The sequence below is a fragment of the Homo sapiens genome, chromosome 13, assembly GCF_000001405.40.
Source record: "Homo sapiens chromosome 13, GRCh38.p14 Primary Assembly".
In the NCBI taxonomy this organism is placed as follows: Eukaryota; Metazoa; Chordata; class Mammalia; order Primates; family Hominidae; genus Homo; species Homo sapiens.
In genome coordinates this window covers 33,238,365-33,261,436 of record NC_000013.11, presented here as the reverse complement: position 1 = coordinate 33,261,436, position 23,072 = coordinate 33,238,365, and the positions used below count along the sequence as shown (strand labels likewise).

At 40.7% G+C, this 23,072-nt stretch overlaps 1 protein-coding gene across 7 annotated transcripts in view, besides 2 other annotated features; it reads left to right on the top strand.

Annotated features, from left to right (window-relative positions):
* The window catches only part of STARD13 (StAR related lipid transfer domain containing 13), a 573,658-nt gene that overhangs the window by 415,358 nt on the left and 135,228 nt on the right, over positions 1-23,072 (top strand). The window lies entirely within an intron of this gene.
* Positions 551-1,051: an enhancer, noted in NCBI's record as "H3K27ac hESC enhancer chr13:33834523-33835023 (GRCh37/hg19 assembly coordinates)". NCBI's record gives its function as "activates a minimal SCP1, AML or CMV promoter by ChIP-STARR-seq in primed H9 embryonic stem cells {active_cell/tissue: H9 hESC(primed)}" and the evidence as "EXISTENCE:reporter gene assay evidence [ECO:0000049][PMID:30033119]".
* Positions 10,051-10,260: an enhancer, noted in NCBI's record as "active region_7576". NCBI's record gives its function as "activates an Ori minimal core promoter by ATAC-STARR-seq in GM12878 lymphoblastoid cells {active_cell/tissue: GM12878}" and the evidence as "EXISTENCE:reporter gene assay evidence [ECO:0000049][PMID:35858748]".

Below are 23,072 nucleotides of genomic sequence, written 5' to 3'. Positions count from 1 at the left end.
GGAGCGCTGGCTTATTTCTGAGATCTCTTGTCTGTGTATGGAATTTTTGTAGTTACTCTCTATCTAAATTGGGGTTCTCAATCTCCCCACTATCGACATTTGGGGGCCAGGTAATTGTTTTTTGTGGGGACTGTCCTATGCATTGTGGGATGCTAAGAGGCATCCATAGTTTTTACCTCTGGATACCAGAAGAGATCTAACCCACAAGTTGTGAAAACCAAACATGTCTCCAGACATTGCCCTGTGTTCTCAGGGGAGCAAAAATCCCTGCAGATGAGAACCATTGAGCTAAATAAAAATAAGGATCCCTAGATAGATACAAATGAATTCATTCCTTTGTTCAATCTTTTAACAAATGTCTCTTAAATGTCTTCTGTGTACCAGAGTCTTCTTTGAAGATTGTAAATTGAGAGATGACTAGATCATAGTTATTGCCCTATAGGGACTTGGAGAGAAGACAGGCATGAATCTAAATAATTACACCAGGAATGCCCTCTAATGAAGACGGGAAGGACGTGGCTTAGGAGTTCAGAGGAATAAGTGTTAACTCTTCTTGAACTTATCAGATTTCCTGAAAATTCTGATTCTCCATTTATTCAGAAACACTTACGTTTTCAAGGGAAAAAAATCCTGTTTATTAAGATATTACACTACAGAGAGTTTCAAAGTCAAACTTATGAATTCTTTTATGTAAATGTTTTGGTAAGGTAAATTTTGGTTTCAAATGTAGATAAAAGAAGTCGCAATATCTAGATATTAGTTGATGTACAAAACATGTACATGAAAGGCTCTGAATGAACGGATTGGGTAACAGCTGTTCAAAGGGCTGAGTGAGCCCTGAGCTTGGACAGTGTCCAGGCTCTGTCTTAGGAAAGTGTCTGCCATGCTTTGAAGTCACAATTTTGAACCTTTGTTCACAGTAACAGACAAAAGTGGATGTTTACACTTCCTGGGGCTTCAGATTTGATGACCTCCCCCGTAAAATGTAGAGGGCAGTAAGATGAAACAGAAATAGACCTGCCTCCACTGTTGAAGCAGCGTTGGCAATGGCTGCCCACTGTGAGCTGCAGCGAGCACAGCTCCCAGACCACCAGCTGGAAATCCACCCCTTTCTCTTTCATTGCAAATAAGTGCGAAAGATGCTACGATAAGGTTTTGAATCTATGGCAAATGAATATTTGAAATCCTTTGTATGTTTTAACTATGTGGGAGGTACTGTGATGTAATCATGAAGAACACTAGCTGGAAAGTTAGAAAGACCTGGGTTAAAACCCAGGCTCCACCAGGCCTAGATGTTTGACCATGGACCAGTTATCTAACCCCATGCTGCCTCAGGTTCTTTGTAGAAATTAGACTAATCCTTCCCACCTCAAAGGATTGTTATGAGGTAATTATAGGAGATATTTTAACTGTCTAATTTTTTTTTTTTTTTTTTTTTTTGGAGATGGAATCTCACTTTCTTACCCAGGCTGGAGTGCAGTGGCACGATCTCGGCTCACTGCAACTTCCACCTCCTGAGTTCGAGCATTATCCTGCCTTAGCTTCCTGAGTAGCAGGTCCCTCCCATGACATGTGGGAATTATAGGAGCTACAGTTCAAGATGAGATTTGGGTAGGGATACAGCCAAACCATATTAATATGGAAGGTCATCATTGCCTAGGAAGTGCCTGCATAAATAGATATAAGTTGAGCTTTTAATTTGCTTTCAGTTCAGGTTAAATTTGGAATATTGGTAATGATTTTTAAACTCAAGCAAGCGTATTGTCACTTTTTGGCGATTTCCTAGGCCCAACTGAACCATAAACAGAGGATTCCTTTGCTCTTGATCTTTTGAGACCTAATAAGAATGCACAAACCACTTTCAGTGCTCTCTTTGCATGACAACTATGTAGATGTGATGGAGTCTGGCAATGTCAAAAGAAAGGAAGCATCCTCTACCCAGGGTTGAGATTGCATCAGATCATGGGAACTGACACCAAAGCCAGTGTGAAGTTTAAGAGTGGAGGCATTGCTGAGAGTCCCATTTTGAAGAGGTCCTTTTTATTCCTGTGCACATTCTTGCCCAATATCCTCCTTACTGATATATGCTTCTCTATTAATTTTTAATTTCTACCAAAATCTCAGAAAGAAGATACTGTCAGTCCCTATGAAAACAAGGACTGTAACAATCTCACAAGTTTGTTTCTCAAAAGATAATTTTTCTCATCCATTCCTGCATTTATTCATTCAACATTTATTCAGCAACTGTTAGATGCTGGGCAAGACAAGATGTGGGCCCCACCCTCCAGGAGCTTCCATTCTAGTGGGGGCAGGGGAGGAAGGGAGGGAGGTAGAGAGGTAATGATAGTACAGGACAGAAGTACAAGGGTAGGCATTAGTGCAGGATCCAAGGGGAGCTCCAGAATCCATACTAAATGCTTAGGGAAGGCTTCCAAGATTAGGCAATGTTCCTGTTGACTTTTGAAAGAGACAGCCCAGCAAAGATAGAACAGAAAGATGTTGTTTTCCAACAGTATGGCACAACACTTGAAGAACAGAAAGACACTTATAGGAGAAAGATCTCATGTGCTGTAGTCAAGCACAGTGAGAGAGCATGGTCTGTTCTAGGAAGAGCAAATTAAGGAGAAACCTTGTTTTCTGTATGGAAGCAAAGGCCTAGATAGGTCACTGTGGCTCCAGAGTTGAGCATGCATTGCAGAATTCCATTGCACTGATCCCTGTTATCCTTCTCCAAATCAGCCTGACCATAAAAGGGTTTGTGGCTCTATTAAGTCCTTGTGTAAGAAAAACTACACATAAAGATTTAATTGAAAATAATTGCAAGAATGGTTCTCGGAAATATTCCACTACTCTGCATTTAGAAATAGCCTGAAATGTTTTGTAATCCATCTGCGTGCCTTCCAGCTAGAGAGCGTGCAAACAATACACACTGAAAAGGCCACTCTTTTTTTTTTTTCTTTCTTCCTAATCTCCAGCATTGACGATTGCATGGTGTCTTGTGTGTTTCTGGTCTTCATAGCCATTAAACTATTTCTAAGTTGAATCGAAATCCAGTTGAAACCTGTTCTTTTTTGCTCTTCTTCTATTGAGAACATAGAACAACTGCTCTCTAGCACATCTATTTTTTTAGGAAAATGGTTATGGAAGCATTCACTCCAATCACATAATATGGGTGGGCAATTGCTTGCTTTAACTACGCCAGATAAAAGATGACCCCCAATTCTCCATGGCAACCAGAATCATTGACGATCAAGCCAGAGGAAGATGCTTTGTGTAAATTGTGTAGCTAGAAGGAGATTTGCAAATGAGGGGACTCTCACTGGCTTAACCCAAGAAGCTGATAAAGGGGAGCTGTCCATTTAAAATGCATCAGAGCCTTATCACATTCATATAAAACAAAATGACTAAATGAAGCAGCTGGAAGATTATAGTGAGTTTTAATTATCTTTTAATAGCCAAAGGGCTCTTGCCAACACATGCTGATAACCTGTCACTTGTTATGTGTCATATAATCTCCATTTATGAGTCTCAGCTGTTACAAATTGAAAATATATTTACAGTGATGATCTTTCCTTGTTAAATGCAAATTCCCAGAAATGTTCAAACTGCAAGGTATCCTCACAGCTTTGTTTCTGTTACCCTCTTGTGTGGAATTGAAAAGGCTGGTAATACTAAACAAATAATAATAACCAACCTTCTTCTTGTTCATAATTTATGACTCTCATTATGAGTATAATAATACCAGTTCTTAAAAAGTAAGGGTAAAATAATTCCTGAGGCTTGGAGATTATATTTCTGAAATTGCTTACAAATCCTTTTTTAATGGTAATCCACATTTTTTTCAAATCTGCCTGCCACCTTCTCCTCCTCTCCTTAGGTGTATCCATCTCAAATGTCTTCAGGCTCCAGGGCTCCAAGGCAGCTGCTGTGATGTCATTCATATTCCCTCTATATTCCCTAGATAGATAGGTAAAGATATAGGTATAGATATAGGTACACTTTTATATACCATGCTTGGCATTCAGTACATGTGGGATCAAATGAGAAAAAGTCTTGCAAAGTTGCTGACCCCTTCTACTTGTCTTCTTGCCTTGACCTCACTGGTATCTCATTTCTCTGCTTCTCTTGACTATTTTTACTGATGTCCTTGGTAGCAGCTCTTATTCCTCTGCCCAGCTCTGTGTTTCCCAAGATTTAGTTCCCATTCATGGTCTTATCACCAAATTTACATGGATAATTCCCAGATCTACATCTTCAGGTCAGACTTTGCACCTTTTTTCCAGTTCTATATGTCAAATGGCCTTAATTGAACATCCTTAATTATATAGTCATGATCTCTTCCAATCAACAAGTTTAACAACTGAATATGTTAATTTTATGTCTGAAAACTTTTCCTGTTTTGGTTAGAGCTTCATTTGCTCTGCCTATCTTCTTGATAAGAAACTTTGTGTTATTTTGTAGCTTTTGTATCTGTATATAGTGAGTCTGTAAGGACTACCTTCGAGATCTGGCATAAAGATTAAATTATTCTTTATTTCCACTGCAAACATTGTGGTTCAAATACAGAAACTTGTCTATTTACTTTCAACTTTAAAAATTTAATATATAAACAAATTATACTTTATTGAAATCTTCATCAGTCCTGCTCATCACCTACAGATGGGGTTAGCAGCAATGAGTCAACATTTTTGTTTCTGCCATCTTGTTTGTTAACATGCTTGTCTCGTTTAAGCTTGACTAGGAAGGTTTTTTGCAGTCATTTTGAACTGATTCTGGTTTGTTAAATGCAAAGCAGTATTCATTCAGAATTTAAAAGCAGTTCAAAGTTCTATTAAGAAAAAAATACCCCTATGATTACCATGGAAACAAAAGCAGATGTTTCAAAAAAATTTTAAAGAGAAGAAAATGTGCTGCATTGTGGACTTGGGATGAATAGTTTGCTAGCTGCTGAACTGTCAATGTGCTGATGGGTTCTGAAGGAACAGGAGTAAATAATAGAACAAGTGAAAACTGTGGGGCCTGGGTACCTGGTGATCATTTGCAAGAGGGGAGGAAGTGAGGCGGACACAATGGCAACACTGCTGACTGTAGGGCTGGAGGAGCAGCCTCTTAGTCACCAGGGCCAGCAGGAGCCCTCTCAGGAAGGCCGAGCCAGTGAGGGTGCAGGTAATGAAATGCACATCATTGACCCAGGATCATTTCTTAGTTCCCATGCCTGTAAAAATCTGCACATCAGAGTGGTCACAGCCCAGGGCTGGTGACAGGTTCAAGGCATGTTCAGAATTTGGGACGCCACGAAGCCAAATTTGAAAATTCATTTTGAAGATGAATCCTTTGTTATTGTTGAGTGTATACTTGGCTCCTTTAGTATTTCAGTAGGCTTCATTAATGAACACATTTGGAAAGTGGTCAGATGAAGATAATCAACTTATGTATGTATATTTATGCTTTTTATTTATACTTGATATAAAAATTGACCTGCATACATGTGCTCTTTCTTTAGTGCTTATGAAGAGTCTTATACTACCTGTAGACCATCATGATATGTGTCAGTTTGGGGAACATGAGCAGAAGGGCCAGTAATTAGTGTTAGCTCCTCAACTCAGAGTAGATAGAACTCCTGGAGGTCTCTTCCCTGCACAGTTGCAAGCAAGGGTTTGTGCCTTTGCCATGAGCCGTCCCCTCCCTGCCCTGGAGGGAGTGTGGCAGAAATGAAGTTAAGGATGGAAATCTCTTTATGCACAACCCTTGTTTGTTGGGGAGGAACAGGCATTTTGGGGCTCACTCTGGTTCAGTCTGATTTTTTTCTGTCTCTAGCAGCCTCAGTAGGTATGGCCTTTGTAGTAAGAAGAGAGGAATCATCTCTGTGAAAAAACTTACCATCAAGGCACACTGTACTATGAAAACTCTCCCTTCCCATTCACCACCACATCTACTAGGCTGGGAGAGGGTGGACAGGGGTATGGTTGATGGCAACAGGGTGTGCGGGCCCTGGAGGATGGAGTTTGGCCCAGTTGTGAGCGGTTCTCTTTAGAGAGGGTGGGCCTGGATAAATATTTTTCTTAGCTTTGATAATAATAGTGAAAGTCCCTCTCAGCATCCTAAAGGTGAGGATTTATCCATCTCTTACCATAAGCCAAGAAGGGTTGTGACACTGGGGTCCCTCTGAGTAGTATGAATGATACACACATCAGCTTACACATCTGTATGAGGCTTTCAACTTTGTTGTATTCACAGTGAAACGGGAGAGTTCCCTGGTCCCCCTCGTAGGATGTGCAACAAGGGTGTGGCTCACCTGCTCGGTCTCTGAACCTGATCAAGCCTCTGAGGGGGGGGGGAGCACACAGATGGACAGGTATAGGAGCCCAAGTTGTCGTGTGTTACAGTGTGCCCTTTTAGCCCTGCTGTCCGCAGATAGTGTGAGTGTTATCCAGCTCAGTGGACCCTCTGCCTTTTCTCAAGGGCAGAGGGCCAGTGTGACAGCTTTCTGTATCCTGAGCTCTTGTCCAGCATCCTGGAAGAATCAAGTCACACACAGACTTAAAGGATGAATGTGGGAGTTTTACTGAGTGATGGAGGTGGCTCTCAGTGGGATGGATGGGGAGCCAAAGAGGGGTTGGAGTGGGAACACGATCTTCCCTTGAAGCCTGGCCGTCCAGCAGCCAAACTCCTCTCTGACCACCCCCAGCCAAACTCATCTCAGCATTCAGACATCCCTCCTCTTCTCTCTTTCTCTGCCACGTCATTCCACAGTTCGTGTGCTTGTCTCCTCACCTACAGGTCTGCTTCTGGAGCCTGGGTTTCGGGATTTATATGGGTACAGGATAGGGGGGCATGGCAGGCCAAAAGGACATGAAAACAGAAATGCTGTTCCCACTTAGGGCTGTGGGTCTTCAGGCTTGATGGTAGGGCCTTTGTCGGGGAATCACCCCCTGGTATCCAATATTTCCCTGCCTCCTGCCCATATCAACAGAATACTTTCAAATGCTAGAATATAGGCAACAGCTATGAAGGGATTGAGAGGCCTAAAACAATACTCAACAAATCAGCAATAATGACAACTCAGCACAGTGACACTGTCTCACAGAGCCTGTAAAGGTGCTCACCTGTGTCACACGCACGTGTTCTCTCTCCAACACTGTTAAGCCTATTGTCCTGACTACCCCTTGGCATATCCACTCTGTTGAGGTGTACAAATTATCCTCTTTGCCGCTGACTTGACCTCATGCTGTGCCTCTGACCTCAGTCCGCTTTGCCACCCACTACCCCATCAGCCTAGTGTCCTATCTGCTGGGGACCAACCAGCCCACTTTGTCTGAGATTCAATAGTTTCCAGAGACATTAGGCTTTCAGTGTTAAAATGAGGATCACTCCAGGCAAAGCGGGATGGCTGATCACCCTGTGTGTGTCAGACTGTGCATCCCAATAGTGCATATATTCAATTGCAGCACTAATACATTTTACAATTTGATCACCAATTGACAGCACACCTGGACAGGGTGTTCCCCCATGGTCTGTGGCAGGCCTGTTGAAAAACCTTCATTTATGTTTTGTTCATTGCTCATCAAATTTGTATCCGTTCAAGAGAGGCCTTTATTTTTATCCCGTTCAGTCTAGGCATCATCTTTAGATCGTACTATTTTGAAAGTTCAATTTCAGGCTTTGATGATACGCTTATAAATCAGAGCTACCCTTGACATAAATCAGTAGAATCAACGCCATACATTGAAGGGGGTCACCGTGGTCTCGGGGGCCACATGAAGCAGACACAGCTGTACAGCTGTCAGCAGAGGTGGCCGAGAAGGCATCCCTGCCCTCATCACTGACCGGCAGCCTCGGCCTTCACAAGGAGGTCCCCCTCACCCAGCAGTGCTGCAGCTAGAGCCCAACAGCATGCTTCATCTTATAAATACACGCTGCGGCCCTTGTTGTAGGTGGAACCTTCATTTAGTGCTCAACTTAAGTTCTGTGTGGATAATTGTGTTCTTTGGGGTAATTGTGTTTTTCCTGGATGAAGCATGTACTGCATATATTATTTCCAGGCATGTTTACGCTGTCCATTGGCTTAATGTAGCTTTTAAAATGGTCTGTGTGTTAACACCTATTCTTAATTGCCAGAATTTGAACTCAAGGGCAAGAATAGTGAACATCACATCACAAATCCATGTTCAAAGGAGGAATACAGCACCTGTCTTTCTACCGAGGTCTAAGAAGTCTTTTAGGAAGTCTGGCTGTCCATAGTCATTGCCTTAAGACCATAAAAACTATCCTTTTAGCAGGACTACAATGATGGTAGGCAAAGAACACACATGGTGTTCTGGAGGCATAAAGTTAGGGCTCTTTTCTGGTTCATGGAAATACCACATGATACTAGGATCTAAGTATCATGGGAAAATTGTTTGGTGGTGACCTTTTTATATGTCCCTAAAATAATCCAAAAAACGGAAAATGACTGGGTCAGATCATCTGTGACATGGGCCCAAGGTCAGTACCTTAGGGAAGCTCGCTTGGTGGGTGATGTGCTCACTGTCTTCTTTAACCCACCAGCTCTCTAACATTCTCAGGCAAAGGCAACACATTTTCATCCTTTACAACCCTCGTCGTACCACCTACTGGCACTGTAAAACTTCTGCAACTTGCGTCAAATCCAATTTTATTGGAAAAGTACTTTCAGATACAAATCTTGCTAAATGATTTGATGTGGGAAAAGTTAGAAAAATATCTAAGCAAACATTCTCCTGGATCAGTCTTCAATTGTGTGATTTCGAGCAATTCTTCCGTAATTCAAGTGAAACACATACCTGCTGGGTCAATACTATTGATAGTGACAAAATTGGTTTCCCTCTGACGGCTTCAACATTATGTTGGAAGCCCTGCATGTGTAGATCTTAAAGATTGGGATTGATAAAGTGAGAACTGTTCAAAGCTGAAACTGGTTGTTTAGTCCATTTGAAAGTATGCGGAAGGGAGGGACCTGAATATGGCCCATAGAGTGAAAATCTTCTCCGTCACTCACTGTGGTTAGAAACAAATGACAGAGGGCTGTTGTGCAGCTATTTCAGTATTGTAAATGGAACATCTAGCACTCTGTTATCACTGCTCCCAGGGCAGCCTCTTGAGGCCCTTGGGCCATCCCAGCCTCACCATGTTCTCCTCTCCATGTTGTCAAAAATAGGCAGGACGTAGGAGTGTGGCAACCGGAGAGGGATTAAAGGCAGGGAGTTCCAAATAAAGGGCAGCCTCTGAGCTGTAAAAGCTGCTCACAATTTTGGATACATCATATACATAACCAGAATAAATTGAATTAGAAGATGATGGTCTTTCCTTTTTAGTGCCAGAGGGCCATTTATCATGTAGGAAATATTTAATGTAGTAATGATAGGAGTATCTTATTTAACGTGTGATTATTTTTATATCTATTTTATATCTTTAGCCTTTTAGGATGAATAAAGCTTATCGTTTTGATTTTCAGCCTTTACCAGAACTCTGAAGAAGTAAGGTTTTGCTAGTTTGTCTGTTTTGGAAAGGAAGGGAATTTACTTTGAAATTGTGTTCAGGATTAGGTGTTACTCATTTAATGTAAGTAGCAGCCTTACTTGACAAGCTAAATAGGGTGGTAAATCTGAGGTTTGCAGAGTAGACTTCTAAAATCCCCATCTAACATTAAAAATGTATTTCATTATAGCTTACCATCAAGGGAGGAACTAACCCAACATATAGATATGCCCATACTTTACACAAACAGCCAATTAGACATATGTATTTTCTTTTGATGAAAAGAGAAGCTTTTGGAAATGCAAACATGTGCATCCACTTACTAAGAGTCTACCAGCCTCTTATGTGGGACTGACATAATGATGTCTTGTGCACTTCCTCTTTTAAAATACAAAAATAAATGACACTGAGACCAAAAGCTCTGCAAATTAGTGGCTATTCAGGCTTGATAACTGTACTGAATGCACATGGTTTTCTGATGATGGCCACAGCTGGGGAATGAATCATCCTAACCTGGCAGACTGTTTTAGTAAACCTTTCATTTTAATGAAGTGATTCACTTGGAAAGAGGGGCAATGCAGCGAGCATAAGGCCCAGATACTTCCTTCAGCAGCCCAAAAATGGCTCAGAGCCACAGAATCTTGTCATTTGATCATCCTGGCAGGCTTGAAAGTGAAAGAATCCCAGGCGGCCTGTCAACCTCAGTGGGTCCTACCTCCTGTAGACCAGATGTTTGTGCAGCATCATCTCCCCCCATGCTCACAAAAATCCTGTGAGGTTGATGTGATGATATTTTATAAATAAAAACATGAGCCTCAGAGAGTTAAATAACTTACAACTCAGGCATCTTAGATTCTACACTATATGTGTTGCTGTTCCTTGATCTTATCTTGTTCTCTCTTCTTCCTCTACCTATAACGTCTCCCTTCCCTTCCCTTCCTTATCCTATTCCCATTTCTCCCCTCCTTCTATGCTTTCACTTATTCAAAGCATAGTGAGCTTCTACACCATGCCATGCCCTATGATAAATGCCAGGATCCAGTAATGAACAAGACAGACTTAAGTCTTGTCCTCATACAGTTTATGATCTAGCAAACAAGAACAGATGTGTGTTCAAATAGAGACTAAGGAACATGGGAGGAGGGGCAAGACATCTGGAAGGGATGCTTCATAGGAAGAGAGCAAGTGTACTGGTTGACAGACAGACTGAGAATATTTAAAGATTTCAACAGCATGGGTCAATGGGCCAAAATCACTGGTTGAAATTACACAGGAATAAATGTAAATCTGCCATTTCATATTATATAAATACAGAACTGGGACCACATGACTTCATAGGGTTCCAAGTGATGTTTGAAGCCTCAGCAATATGAAATAATGCCTTTAAAAGGATGCAGTCTTAGGCTGTGTCTGTACCAGCATGGGTTCCAGAATGAAGTTGCTTGTAATTCCATGCCACATCTGCAACTCTCTGCAGGGCTTTCTTGTTTTAAGGGAGACATTGGTTACAAGACAGTGAATACTGTTTTTGCGAGAATAAAATTCTCCAGAATTATATATTTCCCTTGGTAGAAGGTGAGAGACACACACTTAATTCTTATTCATTCCTCTGCGCTAATGAGCTTTCCTATAGGGAACTTTTGGCTTGGTAGATATGAACTAGGAGGAGATAATTGGCCCCCCAAAGTAACTGACTTTCCTTAACAATACCTAGCAATGTCTACTGCTCAGAATTTTCAGAGAATTATTTTCCAGATTTTTTTTTATTGTTGTTGCTCTTTTAGTCTGATTGAGGAAACAAAATAAGGGTGTGTAAAGCTGCTGTAAAAGAACATAATTAGTTTATGATGGGGGCTGGGCACAGTGTCTCATGCCTGTAATCCCAACACTTGGAAGGCTGAGACGGGGGGATCACTTGAGCCCGGGAGTTCAAGACCAGCCTGAGCAACGTAGTGAGACCTGATCTCTACAAAAAATCAAAAAAATTAGGCAAGCATGGTGGCAAATGCCTGTAGTCCCAGCTACCCAGGAGGCTGAGGTGGGACTATTGTTTAATCCTGGGAGGTAGAGGTTGCAGTGAGCCGAGATGGCGCCACTGCACTCTGGCCTGGGTGACACAGTAAGACCCTGTCTCTAACAAAATAAATAAATAAATAAATAATAACAGATAATTGGTGTATGATGGCATTAGGAAGAAACGAAAGGGAGACAGTTTGAGGAAGTGGAAAGGATACTGTCATTGGAATTAAACATGCAGATTTAAATACCAACTATACCTGTATTAATTGATACAGACAGGTTATTTAACACTCTCTGAGGCTTAGTTTCCTTAATTGCAAAATGGTATACTAATATCTGCATTGTACGATTGTTGCAGGGATTAGAAATAATATTGGCAAATTCATGACCAAAAAGCCTGGCACATTGTAGGTGGCTAAGGAAACCTTGAGAAAAGAAATCATTCAAAGAAAGGAGGTGGAGTCAAAGACGAATTCTTGGAAGAAATGCATTTTTAGATTCATACTTAAGAAATCGTAGACATAGACTGACTGAATATTAAGAAACCCATTACAGACGGAAGAAACAGTGACAAAATGAAGAAGTAAGGTCAAGGCCTTGTGTAGATACTATTGTGTTTTCTTTTTGGTCAACTGAGTCATCGTGAGTTAGTGTGTTCTCTTAGGATTGGAATTTATTGACAGCTGCTTGTGGCCAGTGATAACCTTTGTGTGTCTGTTGATTTCCCTGCTTCGAAATCCTCCTACCATTTAGGAAATGATGTTATCGTGTTCCCAACTTTTTTTTCCTCATTTTAATGTATAAAGCTAGCAGTCATTTCAATGTCATGTAGCATGTCACCTATTTTTCATGAAACACATTTGCAATGGCTGCCTTTAAAATATAGTACTCATTTATCTTCCTTTATCAGAAATATCTGGCAAGGGGAAAAAGGAGTTTTGTTTTCTTTTCTCTTCTTTAGTAGAAATGATTTCCCAACTTATTAGTGAAAAGTAGCTTATTTAAAATTTATTGTTTTAAAGAAAACTAGATGATATGTTCAACTTGCCACCCTAAAATCTAAGACCAGGGAGTATCAAGCTCATTCAATAAATACAACTAATAATTTAAAATATTATGTAATTCAGGTGTTTTGGGAACACCCAAACACTGAATAAGGGAAAGGATAATGGTGAGAAAGAAACAAAGTGACTGGAGAAGTGGAGGAAGAAGAAAAATCAAAATATGGGAAGCAAAAGGGGAAAGGAATGGGAGGAATACCAAAACAAAAGAAGATAAATGAAGGAGAAAAGAAAGACAAAAAACAGGGAAGAGGAATAGAGGGATGGGGGAGCAGTGTGGAGTGGGAGTCACTGTACCTAAGGCCAGAGGCCCTGCTGCTCCTTCCCCACCCATCATTCAAGTCTGGACCCCAACTGGTAGGTAACACTGGAAGCTACAGCTCACAAATCTCTTAATGCTCTCACATGCCCAGGATCGCCATAGACTTCCAGTTTTAAGTAGTGACTAAAAATTCCTTTGTTATTAAAAGTCTATTAAATTACATTCCTTTATTCTTCCTTTTTTATCTTCTTCTTTTTTTTAGAGAGAGAAGTTCTCACTCTGTCGCCCAGGCTGGAGTGCAGTGGCAGGATTATAGCTCACCACAGCTGGTTGCCACCACACCCAGCTAATTTTTTATTTTTTGTAGAAATGAGGTCTCACTATGTTGCCCAGGCTGGTCTTGAACTCCTGGACTCAAGCAATCCTCCTGTCTTGGCCTCCCAAAGTGCTAGGATTACAGGCATGAGCCACCATGCCCAGCCTTCTTCTTCTTAACGATAGCCCTGACTCATTCGAAAGTCAAGACAATAATAGAAATGTAAGTTTAAAATGTTATATGCCCATTTATTCAAAATTAATATTTTTAGCCTCATTGAGTCTTCAAGTGCAGTATATAAGGACCCCCCAGAAGATGAGGTAAATCACCCACATGAAAAGCCCTTTGTGTCAGTGGTCCCCAACCTTGTTAGCACGTCAGAATCACCTGGCCATTCATGAAAACCTGGGGTGTCTGGGCACCTCAACTGAGAGTGGTTTGAATTGGGGTCTCAGCACCCACTATTTTGTAAGCATCTCAGGTGATGGGAAGTTCAGCCAGTGCTGAGAATTGTGCGTTTTGGGCGATAGCAGTAGAGTGAGTGAATCACGGTTCCAGCACTTACAAGTGAGGGCCATTCATATACATATATAACTGGGATATCTAATATATAGCAAATTGAAAATTTGTAATACAATAGATATGTAATATATTTGATATTGTACTTGATATTATATTTGGTGTCTGTTATATATACAGCAAATTGCAAAAATATATGATAGAAATATATATTATATCTAATATAACGTATATTAGGCACCCTGAAACATGTTATGAAAAGACTAGCTCCAAAAAATGAGAGGGCACTGGTCATATGGAGCAGTTGTCCTGGCGACGGCATTGCAGAGACCTCATGTTGAATTCGTGTCTGCTTGTCCATCATCTGAGCACAGTGCTCATCACGTTGCCCCCATCGCCTGCTGAATTGAGTACTAAGTCCCCACTCAGAGTGTCCCTCCATTCTGACTCTCTGCCGCCTGGTATCTTGGCTCCAGACAAACCAAGCCGCACTTTCTCTTCTGGACTTTTTTCCAGCCGTTTTATTTATTTATTTATTTATTTAATTTATTTATTTATTTATTTATCCGAGACAGAGTCTCACTCTGTCACCCAGGCTGGAGTGCAGTGGTGTGATCTTGGCTCACTGCAACCTCCGCCTCCAGGGTTCAAGCCATTCTCCTGCCTCAGCCTCCCAAGTAGCTAGGACTACAGGCATGTGTCACCACACTCAGCTAATTTTTGTATTTTTACTAGAGACGGGGTTTCACCATGTTGGCCAGGCTGGTCTCGAACTCCTGACCTCAGGCGACCCACCTGCCTCGGCCTCCCAAAGTGCTGGGATTACAGGCATGAGCCACCACACCCAGCCCAGCCATTCCTTTAAACTGGACCAATCTATAACTCTCTCCATAACCACACCCTTGTCACTGTCTTTTGAAATTTTATCCATCCTTCAAGGTCTTCTTCCAAGAAGCAATCTTAATTCTCTTGCCAACAGATAATTCTTTTTGCTTTTGAAATCCCACCGCATAGTGTTTTATTCTCTCCTCTCTCTCTCTCTCTTAGTTTTTGTTTTTGTTTTATGGTCATCAATATTTTTATTATTTTATTTGTCTAATAACCTGAGTGAAGGTTTAGAATATCTTCTATATCTTTGGATCCTCGTTGGATCTACCTAGCACAGTGTTTTGCACAGAAAGTGCTCAACAAATATTTATTCAATAGAATTAATAAAATTTTTAAAAAGATGTTGATAGGGGTATGAAACCTATTGAAATATGAAACTTAAATTTAAGCAGGTGTGATTGTTGAAACAAATGGCTGGTTTTAGAAGATGCTTGTCTGTTCCTAGACATACAGACTTAGACAAAGATACAGCCCTGAGAAGCTCAGGTGGACTAGAGATGTGTGTGTGCCTGTCTGGGGTACATTAGGTGCATAGAAAGTGAATGAATAGGTAACGTTCTAGCCAACCCTGACTTGATGGTAGTGCTTTCCTCTTTTGTGAAGCAACACAGCCACTTATTCATCTTAAGTCACTTCTCCTTACCTCTCTTTGATGCGCATGTCTTAAATTATAACCCTGGGATTTATTATCTTTTGCTTCAAGAGACAGACAAAGCATTTATGTCTATGAACACAGTGCAGTTGCCCTTCTACCCACACACTAAAAAATGAATTAAAAAATTGCCAAGCTTGAGCTTATTCATTACAATGTTTCTCTGGATAACAGGCCCACCCCATCCCTTCCTGCACCCTTCAAATATCCTTACTTGTACGGTGAATAAAATGTAATTTTATTGTCCTTAGGCTATATCATTCTTCTGCTCACAGTAACCATGGGCATGCATTTAAAAGTAGAATCTGGCCTCTTGAGTTTACCAGTTAATTTAATCAACTCCCTATAAATTACTTTACAAAAAAGGTTGGGGGAGAATGAAAGAAAAGAAAATCTATTTTAGAAACAAAAATGTATCTGTGCAGCTTTGTTTTCTCATGGAAGACAAAGGTTCTTTCCAATAGGACAGAATGACAGTTCCACTTATCTTGGCTGCACAGAAATTAGATCAGTAACATATTTTCTGTTGAAGAAGAAACCTTATCTTAGTGGCTCCATTTCAGAATCAATCATCTGCATTTCAGTCCTGCCCCTTCTCACAAGCAGGGAACATTATACAATTTGTATGTTTCAATTAGTTTGCCATAAAAAATAAGTAGCTCAAGGGCATTAGTTTATTACTGGTATCCAGCCATGTTTTCTTTTGCTAAATGACATTCTGAAAGCCTCCATTCTGAGCATAATCACCTTAGGGTACCCACAGAATGTGGCCCCAAATGATTCAATTACAGCTAGAAGTTGTTCTCTTCCCAAAGCACGAGTCTTTTGCATTCACAGGATATTTTTTCTTTCATAAACATTCCTGCGAGAATGTAAGTGCGGATGAAGATTGTGTTCTGTCTTCTTCTTGTCTTTTTTCTGTTTACTCTGATTTTATAAAATGCAGTGTCATGTCTTAGGACAAATTATCCTCAGTTTGCCAGCAAGTGAGTTTATAAATTATTTTATTCAAATGAGAAAATTTTCCGCTAGAACCAATAGTAAAGGATGGTGAGTTTCCAGCTGACCCACAATGACGTATTTAACTCACAGTGAAACTCAGCTCTGCGGTTTTAATAGTTTCCTTTTATTTCTAAGAGCAAGGGAGCCTATGTTTCTAATAATTGGACATGTCTGGAACTGTCCCTAACATTTGACAGTTTTTTCCTCCTTGCCAGTGTTAAGGAGATTCTTTCTTCCTCACTTCAGAGACAGCTTAATGTGTTGTATTTGGATGTAGGGATGTGTCAGTTACCTATTGCTACATGACAACCGAATTCAAATTTAATGGCTGAAAACAACAGTCATTTATTGGTTCACAGTTCTGTATGTTGGCAATTTGGTCAGGGCTCAGCTGTTGAGTTCTTCTGCTGGTTTCTCCTTTCTTGTGCAGTTACAATTCATTGGCAACTTGATGGAGTTTTGTGGCCTAATAGTGTCTCCCTCAGATGCCTCGTGGTTGGTTTCAGCTGTCAGCTTGGCCTTTCTCTACATGTGGTCTCTTATCCCCAAGGAGGCTAGCCTGGGCTTCTTGTCTCAGAGTTCCAAGAGGGTAAGCATAAAAGCTGAAAGACCTCTTCAGCCCTAGGCTCATAAGTTGCACATCACTTCTGCTTGATTTGTTGGTCAAAACAAGTGGCATGGCCAAACCCAGATTTGAGGGCTCTTCTTGATAAGAGGAGCAGCAAGGCTAAATTTCAAAGAGATACAGGGATGTGAGGAATTATCGCAGCAGTAGTCTATGTAAAAAGTCTGCTAGAGGACTGGTGGGGTGAGTGGTGAGAGGTGACAGGTGGTGAAAGGAGTGAGAGGGTGACTGATAACTTTGAAGTTCAGAGGACCTGGATTCCAGTGTCGCTTTACTATTTCCCAGTAATGTGACTTTGGAAAAATTATTAACCTATCCAAGCTTTAGTTTCCTATCTCTTGAGACTAATTCCTCATCCACAGAGAACTTACTAACTCTCCTCCTTCACCTCCCACATCCTGATTTTCAGCTTTCATGGTATCGGCATTCCCAGATGAAGGTACAAGTTGACCATCCCTAATCCAAAACTCCAAAATCTGAAATGCTCCAGTGAGCATTTCCTTTGAGCATCATGTTGGCATTCAAAATCTTTCAGATTTTGAAGCATTTTGGATAATGCAAATATTAAAAAAAAAAAAAAAAGAGCCGGAATCTGAAACACTTCTGGTTCCAAGCATTTCAGGTAAGGGATACTCAACCTCTATTCCCATCCAAATAAGTGCCCAAGTTAGAGACCTGGAAGCCATATACTCCCTTACTCTCATCTCACTCTTAGCCGTTGGTTCCTGCTTTCCACCTTTAAACCAGTGCTTAAATACCTTACAGGTGCCAGACCTGGGCTTAACAGGTAAACGAAGCTGACATAGTTCCAAGGAACTTGCACTCCACTGATAATATGAGAATCTCCAAGTTCTATGAAGGAAACAAAATGTTGTGAGAAACAGTAAGGGCCCGGGGACCCTGTTTTTGCCCACCCATCTCCACCACTCCCTGCTGAGTCCGGGACACCATTATCCCTGGCCTGTCACAAGTGTCTCAGCCACACGGATTCTCTGTCCTTTATGGTTCATCCTTCACACTGTTGCTAGAGGTATCATTTTTGAGAAAAAAAAATTAATTCCATACTTGAAAATCCCTATGACCCATAGGATTAAAATCTGAACTCCTTAAGGTGGCATAAGAGGCCCTTCACTCTTGGCTGTGGTGTAGCCCTTCCCACACCCAGGTACTCTTCACCCTGAGGAGCTACACTCCTCACAGGTTGTGGGATTGGTCATACACTGGCAGGAATCTGTGCCTTCCCTATAGGAAAGTCTTTACTCTGAAATGCCTCTCTTTGATGCCTACCATTCCCCCTTCCACACTCCAACATTTCTATTTACTTTTGTACTTTAGAGCTTTAGAACATGTAAGTGCTCAATAAATGTTGAATGAATGTTTGTGGTATTTAAAGGAGGGGTAGCTGAGTATGGTTGTGTCCACCAAAGAGTACCATGAGGAAGAAGAGGAGGTGCACTGTGCTATGGAGTGGGCGGTAGGGATGGAATGAGGGGGCCTTCCTTGGCAAAACAGCAATAGAGTAGGAATAGGAATTCCTGTAGCCACATCATCCAGGAAGGAGAGTTGTGATGGAGAGGTGTTTTCTGAGGCTGAATACATGCTTGCAGGAGCCAGCAGTTTGGAAAAGACTGGGACTGTTTTTGTTGTACAGTGAGAAGTAATATATACCTGCTAACTTAGAGGAATTACTAGGAAGCTCTAAGAACAGAAAAACAGACAAAGACACACCAGCTAAGCCTCCAAATATATCAGACTCAATACATAGTAAAGAAAAGGTGTTTTGAAAATAGTTTTAACCATAAAACTATTAACTCCATACTTTTTTTATTTTTTATTTTTTTTTTAGTATTTACTGATCATTCTTGGGTGTTTCTTGGAGAGGGGGATTTGGCAGGGTCATAGGACAATAGTGGAGGGAAGGTCAGCAGATAAACATGTGAACAAAGGTCTCTGGTTTTCCTAGGCAGAGGGCCCTGCCGCCTTCCGCAGTGTTTGTGTCCCTGGGTACTTGAGATTAGGGAGTGGTGATGACTCTTAAGGAGTATGCTGCCTTCAAGCATCTGTTTAACAAAGCACGTCTTGCACCGCCCTTAATCCATTTAACCCTTAGTGGACACAGCACATGTTTCGGAGAGCACGGGGTTGAGGGTAAGGTTATAGATTAACAGCATCCCAAGGCAGAAGAATTTTTCTTAGTACAGAACAAAATGGAGTCTCCTATGTCTACTTCTTTCTACACAGACACAGTAACAATCTGATCTCTCTTTCTTTTCCCCACATTGCCCCCTTTTCTATTTGACAAAACTGCCCTCGTCATCATGGCCCGTTGTCAATGAGCTGTTGGGTACACCTCCCAGACAGGGTGGTGGCCGGGTGGGGGCTGCCCCCCACCTCCCGGATGGGGCGGCTGCTGGGCGGAGGGGCTCCTCACTTCTCAGACGGGGCGGCCGGTCAGAGACGCTCCTCACCTTCCAGATGGGGTGGCGGCGGGGCAGAGACACTCCTCAGATCCCAGACTGGGTTGCGGCCAGGCAGAGGCGCTCCCTACATCCCAGATGGGGCGGCGGGGCAGAGGGGCTCCCCACACCCCAGACCATGGGCGGCCAGGCAGAGACGCTCCTCACTTCCCAGACGGGGTGGCGGCCGGACAGAGGCTGCAATCTCTGCACTTTGGGAGGCCAAGGCAGGCGGCTGGGAGGTGGAGGTTGTAGTGAGCCTAGATCAGGCCATTGCACTCCAGCCTGGGCAACATTGAGCACTGAGTGAGCGCGACTCCGTCTGCCATCCCGGCACCTCGGGAGGCTGAGGCTGGCAGATCACTCGCGGTCAGGAGCTGGAGACCAGCCCGGCCAACACTGCGAAACCCCATCTCCACCAAAAAATACGAAAACCAGTCAGGCGTGGCGGCGCGCGCCTGCAATCCCAGGCATTGGGCAGGCTGAGGCAGGAGAATCAGGCAGGGAGGTTGCAGTGAGTTGAGATGGCGGCAGTATGGTCCAGCCTCGGCTCGGCATCAGAGGGAGACCGTGCAAAGGGGAGAGGGGGAGGGGGAGGGGGAGGGGCATACTTTTTAATTAAATTTTATTTTCCATTTATACATACATGACTGAAATTGCCTAGAAAAATACCTTTGATTCAGAACTAAAACTGCTTTATCATAGCTTTTGTTGTAGTTTAACATTAATAAAAATGCAGTTTTTATTAATACAAAAACTGCATTAATATCAATTACGGTTTTATTCTATTGTGTTGAATACCCAAGTTATTTCTTAGCTAGATTTTAAACATTCACTAGGTTCCTTTTACTCATTCCATTGTTTCTATCTTTATTGACCTCCATTAGTGCTAAGAATTAACTTAGATCTACTTTCTATGAATAGAGGTCTGTTTTGACACTTAATAGATTGTAGAAATCAATGGCCCTGAAATAGTTTACAAAACAATTTCATACCTGTAAGCTCATGGAATCCTCACAACAAATTCAGAAATATGACAGAACACAGTTTACTCATTTATAATACAATCTTAATAATGGCACCCTACACAAGATATCCAACTTGGGAAGTGATAAATGAAAGTATCTCTGTTTGCAGATGACATGATCTTATATGTAGAAAACAATAAAGACTCCACCAAAAAATGGTTAGAACTAATAAGCAAATTCAGCAAAGCTGCATGATACAAAACCAACATGCGAACATCAGTTGCATTGCTATACATGAACAATTATCAATCTGAAAATGAAATTAAGAAAACAATACTACTTATAGTACTATCAAAAGGAAATAAGGATACTTAAGGATAAACTTAAGGATCCTTAAGGATAAAATACTTAAGGATAAACTTAAGGATCCTTAAGGATAAAATACTTAAGGATAAACTTAAGGATCCTTAAGGATAAAATACTTAAGGATAAACTTAAGGATACTTAAGGATAAAATACTTAAGGATAAACTTAGGGATCCTTAAGGATAAGATACTTAAGGATAAACTTAACCAAAAGGCAAAAGACTTGTACATTGAAAACTGCAGACATTGCTGAAAGAAATTAAAGATACAAGTAAATGGAAGGAAATCTCATACCATGGATTAGAAGACAAGATTGTTAAAATGTTTATACTACTCAAAGTGATCTAGAGATCCAGTGCAATACCTATCAAAATCCCAATGGGATTTTTTTATTTTGCAGAAGTAGAAAAAATTCTAAAATGGATGTGGGATCTCAAAGGATCCTGAATAGCCAAAACAATCTTGAAAAAGAAGGACAAAGTTGGAGGCTTCATACTTCCTGATTTCAAACATGTTACTAAGCTTCAGTAATCAAAACAGTATGTTACCGGCATGAAGACAGACATATGGAACAATGGAACAGAATAGAGAGCCAAGGAACAAATCCTCGTGTATACGGTCAGATGGTCTTCAATGAGCTCATCAAGACTACATAATGAGAAAACGACAGTCTCCTCAATAAATGGGAAAACTGGATATTTACATACCAGTGAATGAAGTTGGATCCTTGCCTTATGCCACATATAAAAATAACTCAAAATGGATAAAATAGCTGAATGTAAGACCTGAAAACTATAAAATTTCTGGAAGGAAACAGGAGAAAAGCTTAATGACATTGGATTTGCAAAAATTTATTTGATATGACATGCAAAACACAGGCAGCAAAGCAAAAATAGACAAATGGGACTACATCAAACTTAAAAACTCCTACACAGCAAAGGAAACTGTCAAGATTGAAAAAGCAACCTATGAAATGGAAGAAAATATATGCAAACCATACATCAGATAAATGGTTAATATCTAGAATATATAAGAACTTCTACAACTTAACAACAACAACACAAACAAATTGCCTGATTTAAAAACATGGGCAAAAGACTTGAATAGATATTTCTTCAAAGAAGATATACAAATGGCCAAGAAGTATATGAAAAGATGCTTGGTATCACTAATTATCAGGAAAATGCAAATAAAAACCACAATGAGATATCACCTCATATTCATAGGGGTGGTCATTACCAAAAACAAACAAACAAACAACAAAACAAGAAGTCTTGGCAATGATGTGGAGAAATTGGAACACTTGTGTATTGTTGATGGGAATAAAAAACAGTGCAGCTGCTATGGAAAACAGAATGGAAGTTCCTAAAAAAGATTATAAATAGAATTGTCATATAATCCAGCAATTCTACTTCTTAGTATATCTCTAAAAGGATTAAAGCCAAGAGCTCAAAGAGATTTGCACCCCAAGTTCATTGTTGTGTCAGTCACACTAGCCAAGAGGTAAAAGCAACCTAAATGTCCATTGATGATGAGTGAAAGCATGAAGAAAACGTGGTATATACATAAAGTAGAATACTATTTAGCCTTAAAAAAGAAGGAAATCTTGTTATATGCTACAACGTGTGTGAGCCTTGAGGTCATTATGCTAAGTGAAATAAGCCAATCACAAAAAGACAAATTCGACATGATTCCACTTCCATGAGGTATCCAAAGAAGTCAAACTCATAGTCACAGAAAGTAGAATGATGACTGTCAGTGGCTGGGGGGGAGGGGGAAATGGGGAGGTTGTTGCTTAATTGATATAGAATTTCAGTTTTGCAAGATGAAAAAGATGTGGAGACCCATTACACAACATGTACATAGAAAAAACACTAATGTGTTACCTCTTAACACATTAAGAAGTTATTTTTTATCACTTAAAAATGGTTAAGATGGTAAATTTTATGTTGTGTTTTTTTACCACAATAAAAAAACATGCTACCTCATGGGGATATCATAGGATTACAGAGATAATGTATATAAAGCACTTGACTCATTATATGCACTTCCACATTAGCTATTATTATTGCTACAAATTAATCAACTCAAGCCTAAGGATGATAAGTGACTTTCTCAAGGTTCCACAACTACTAAATGGCAGCACTGACCATCAAGTCAGGTTTTCTCACTCTAGAGCTCATAGATTTTCTACTGTTCCTTGCTTCCTAAAACTGAAACTTTCTTTCATATGGCAAAAATTTACACCCTGGGATCCCCAACCAAAATTTCAAAATCACTAGTCTGTTTCTTACTAAACATACATATAAAATAGATGATCTACTTTTAAGTCTATGCTGCTTTTCTAATGTAAACTTTTTTATCACTCACTTTACCTTTTGGGGGATATATATTCATTTTCCCCAAATCTTTCACCTTATTTGACCCCATCCTTATTCCAATCT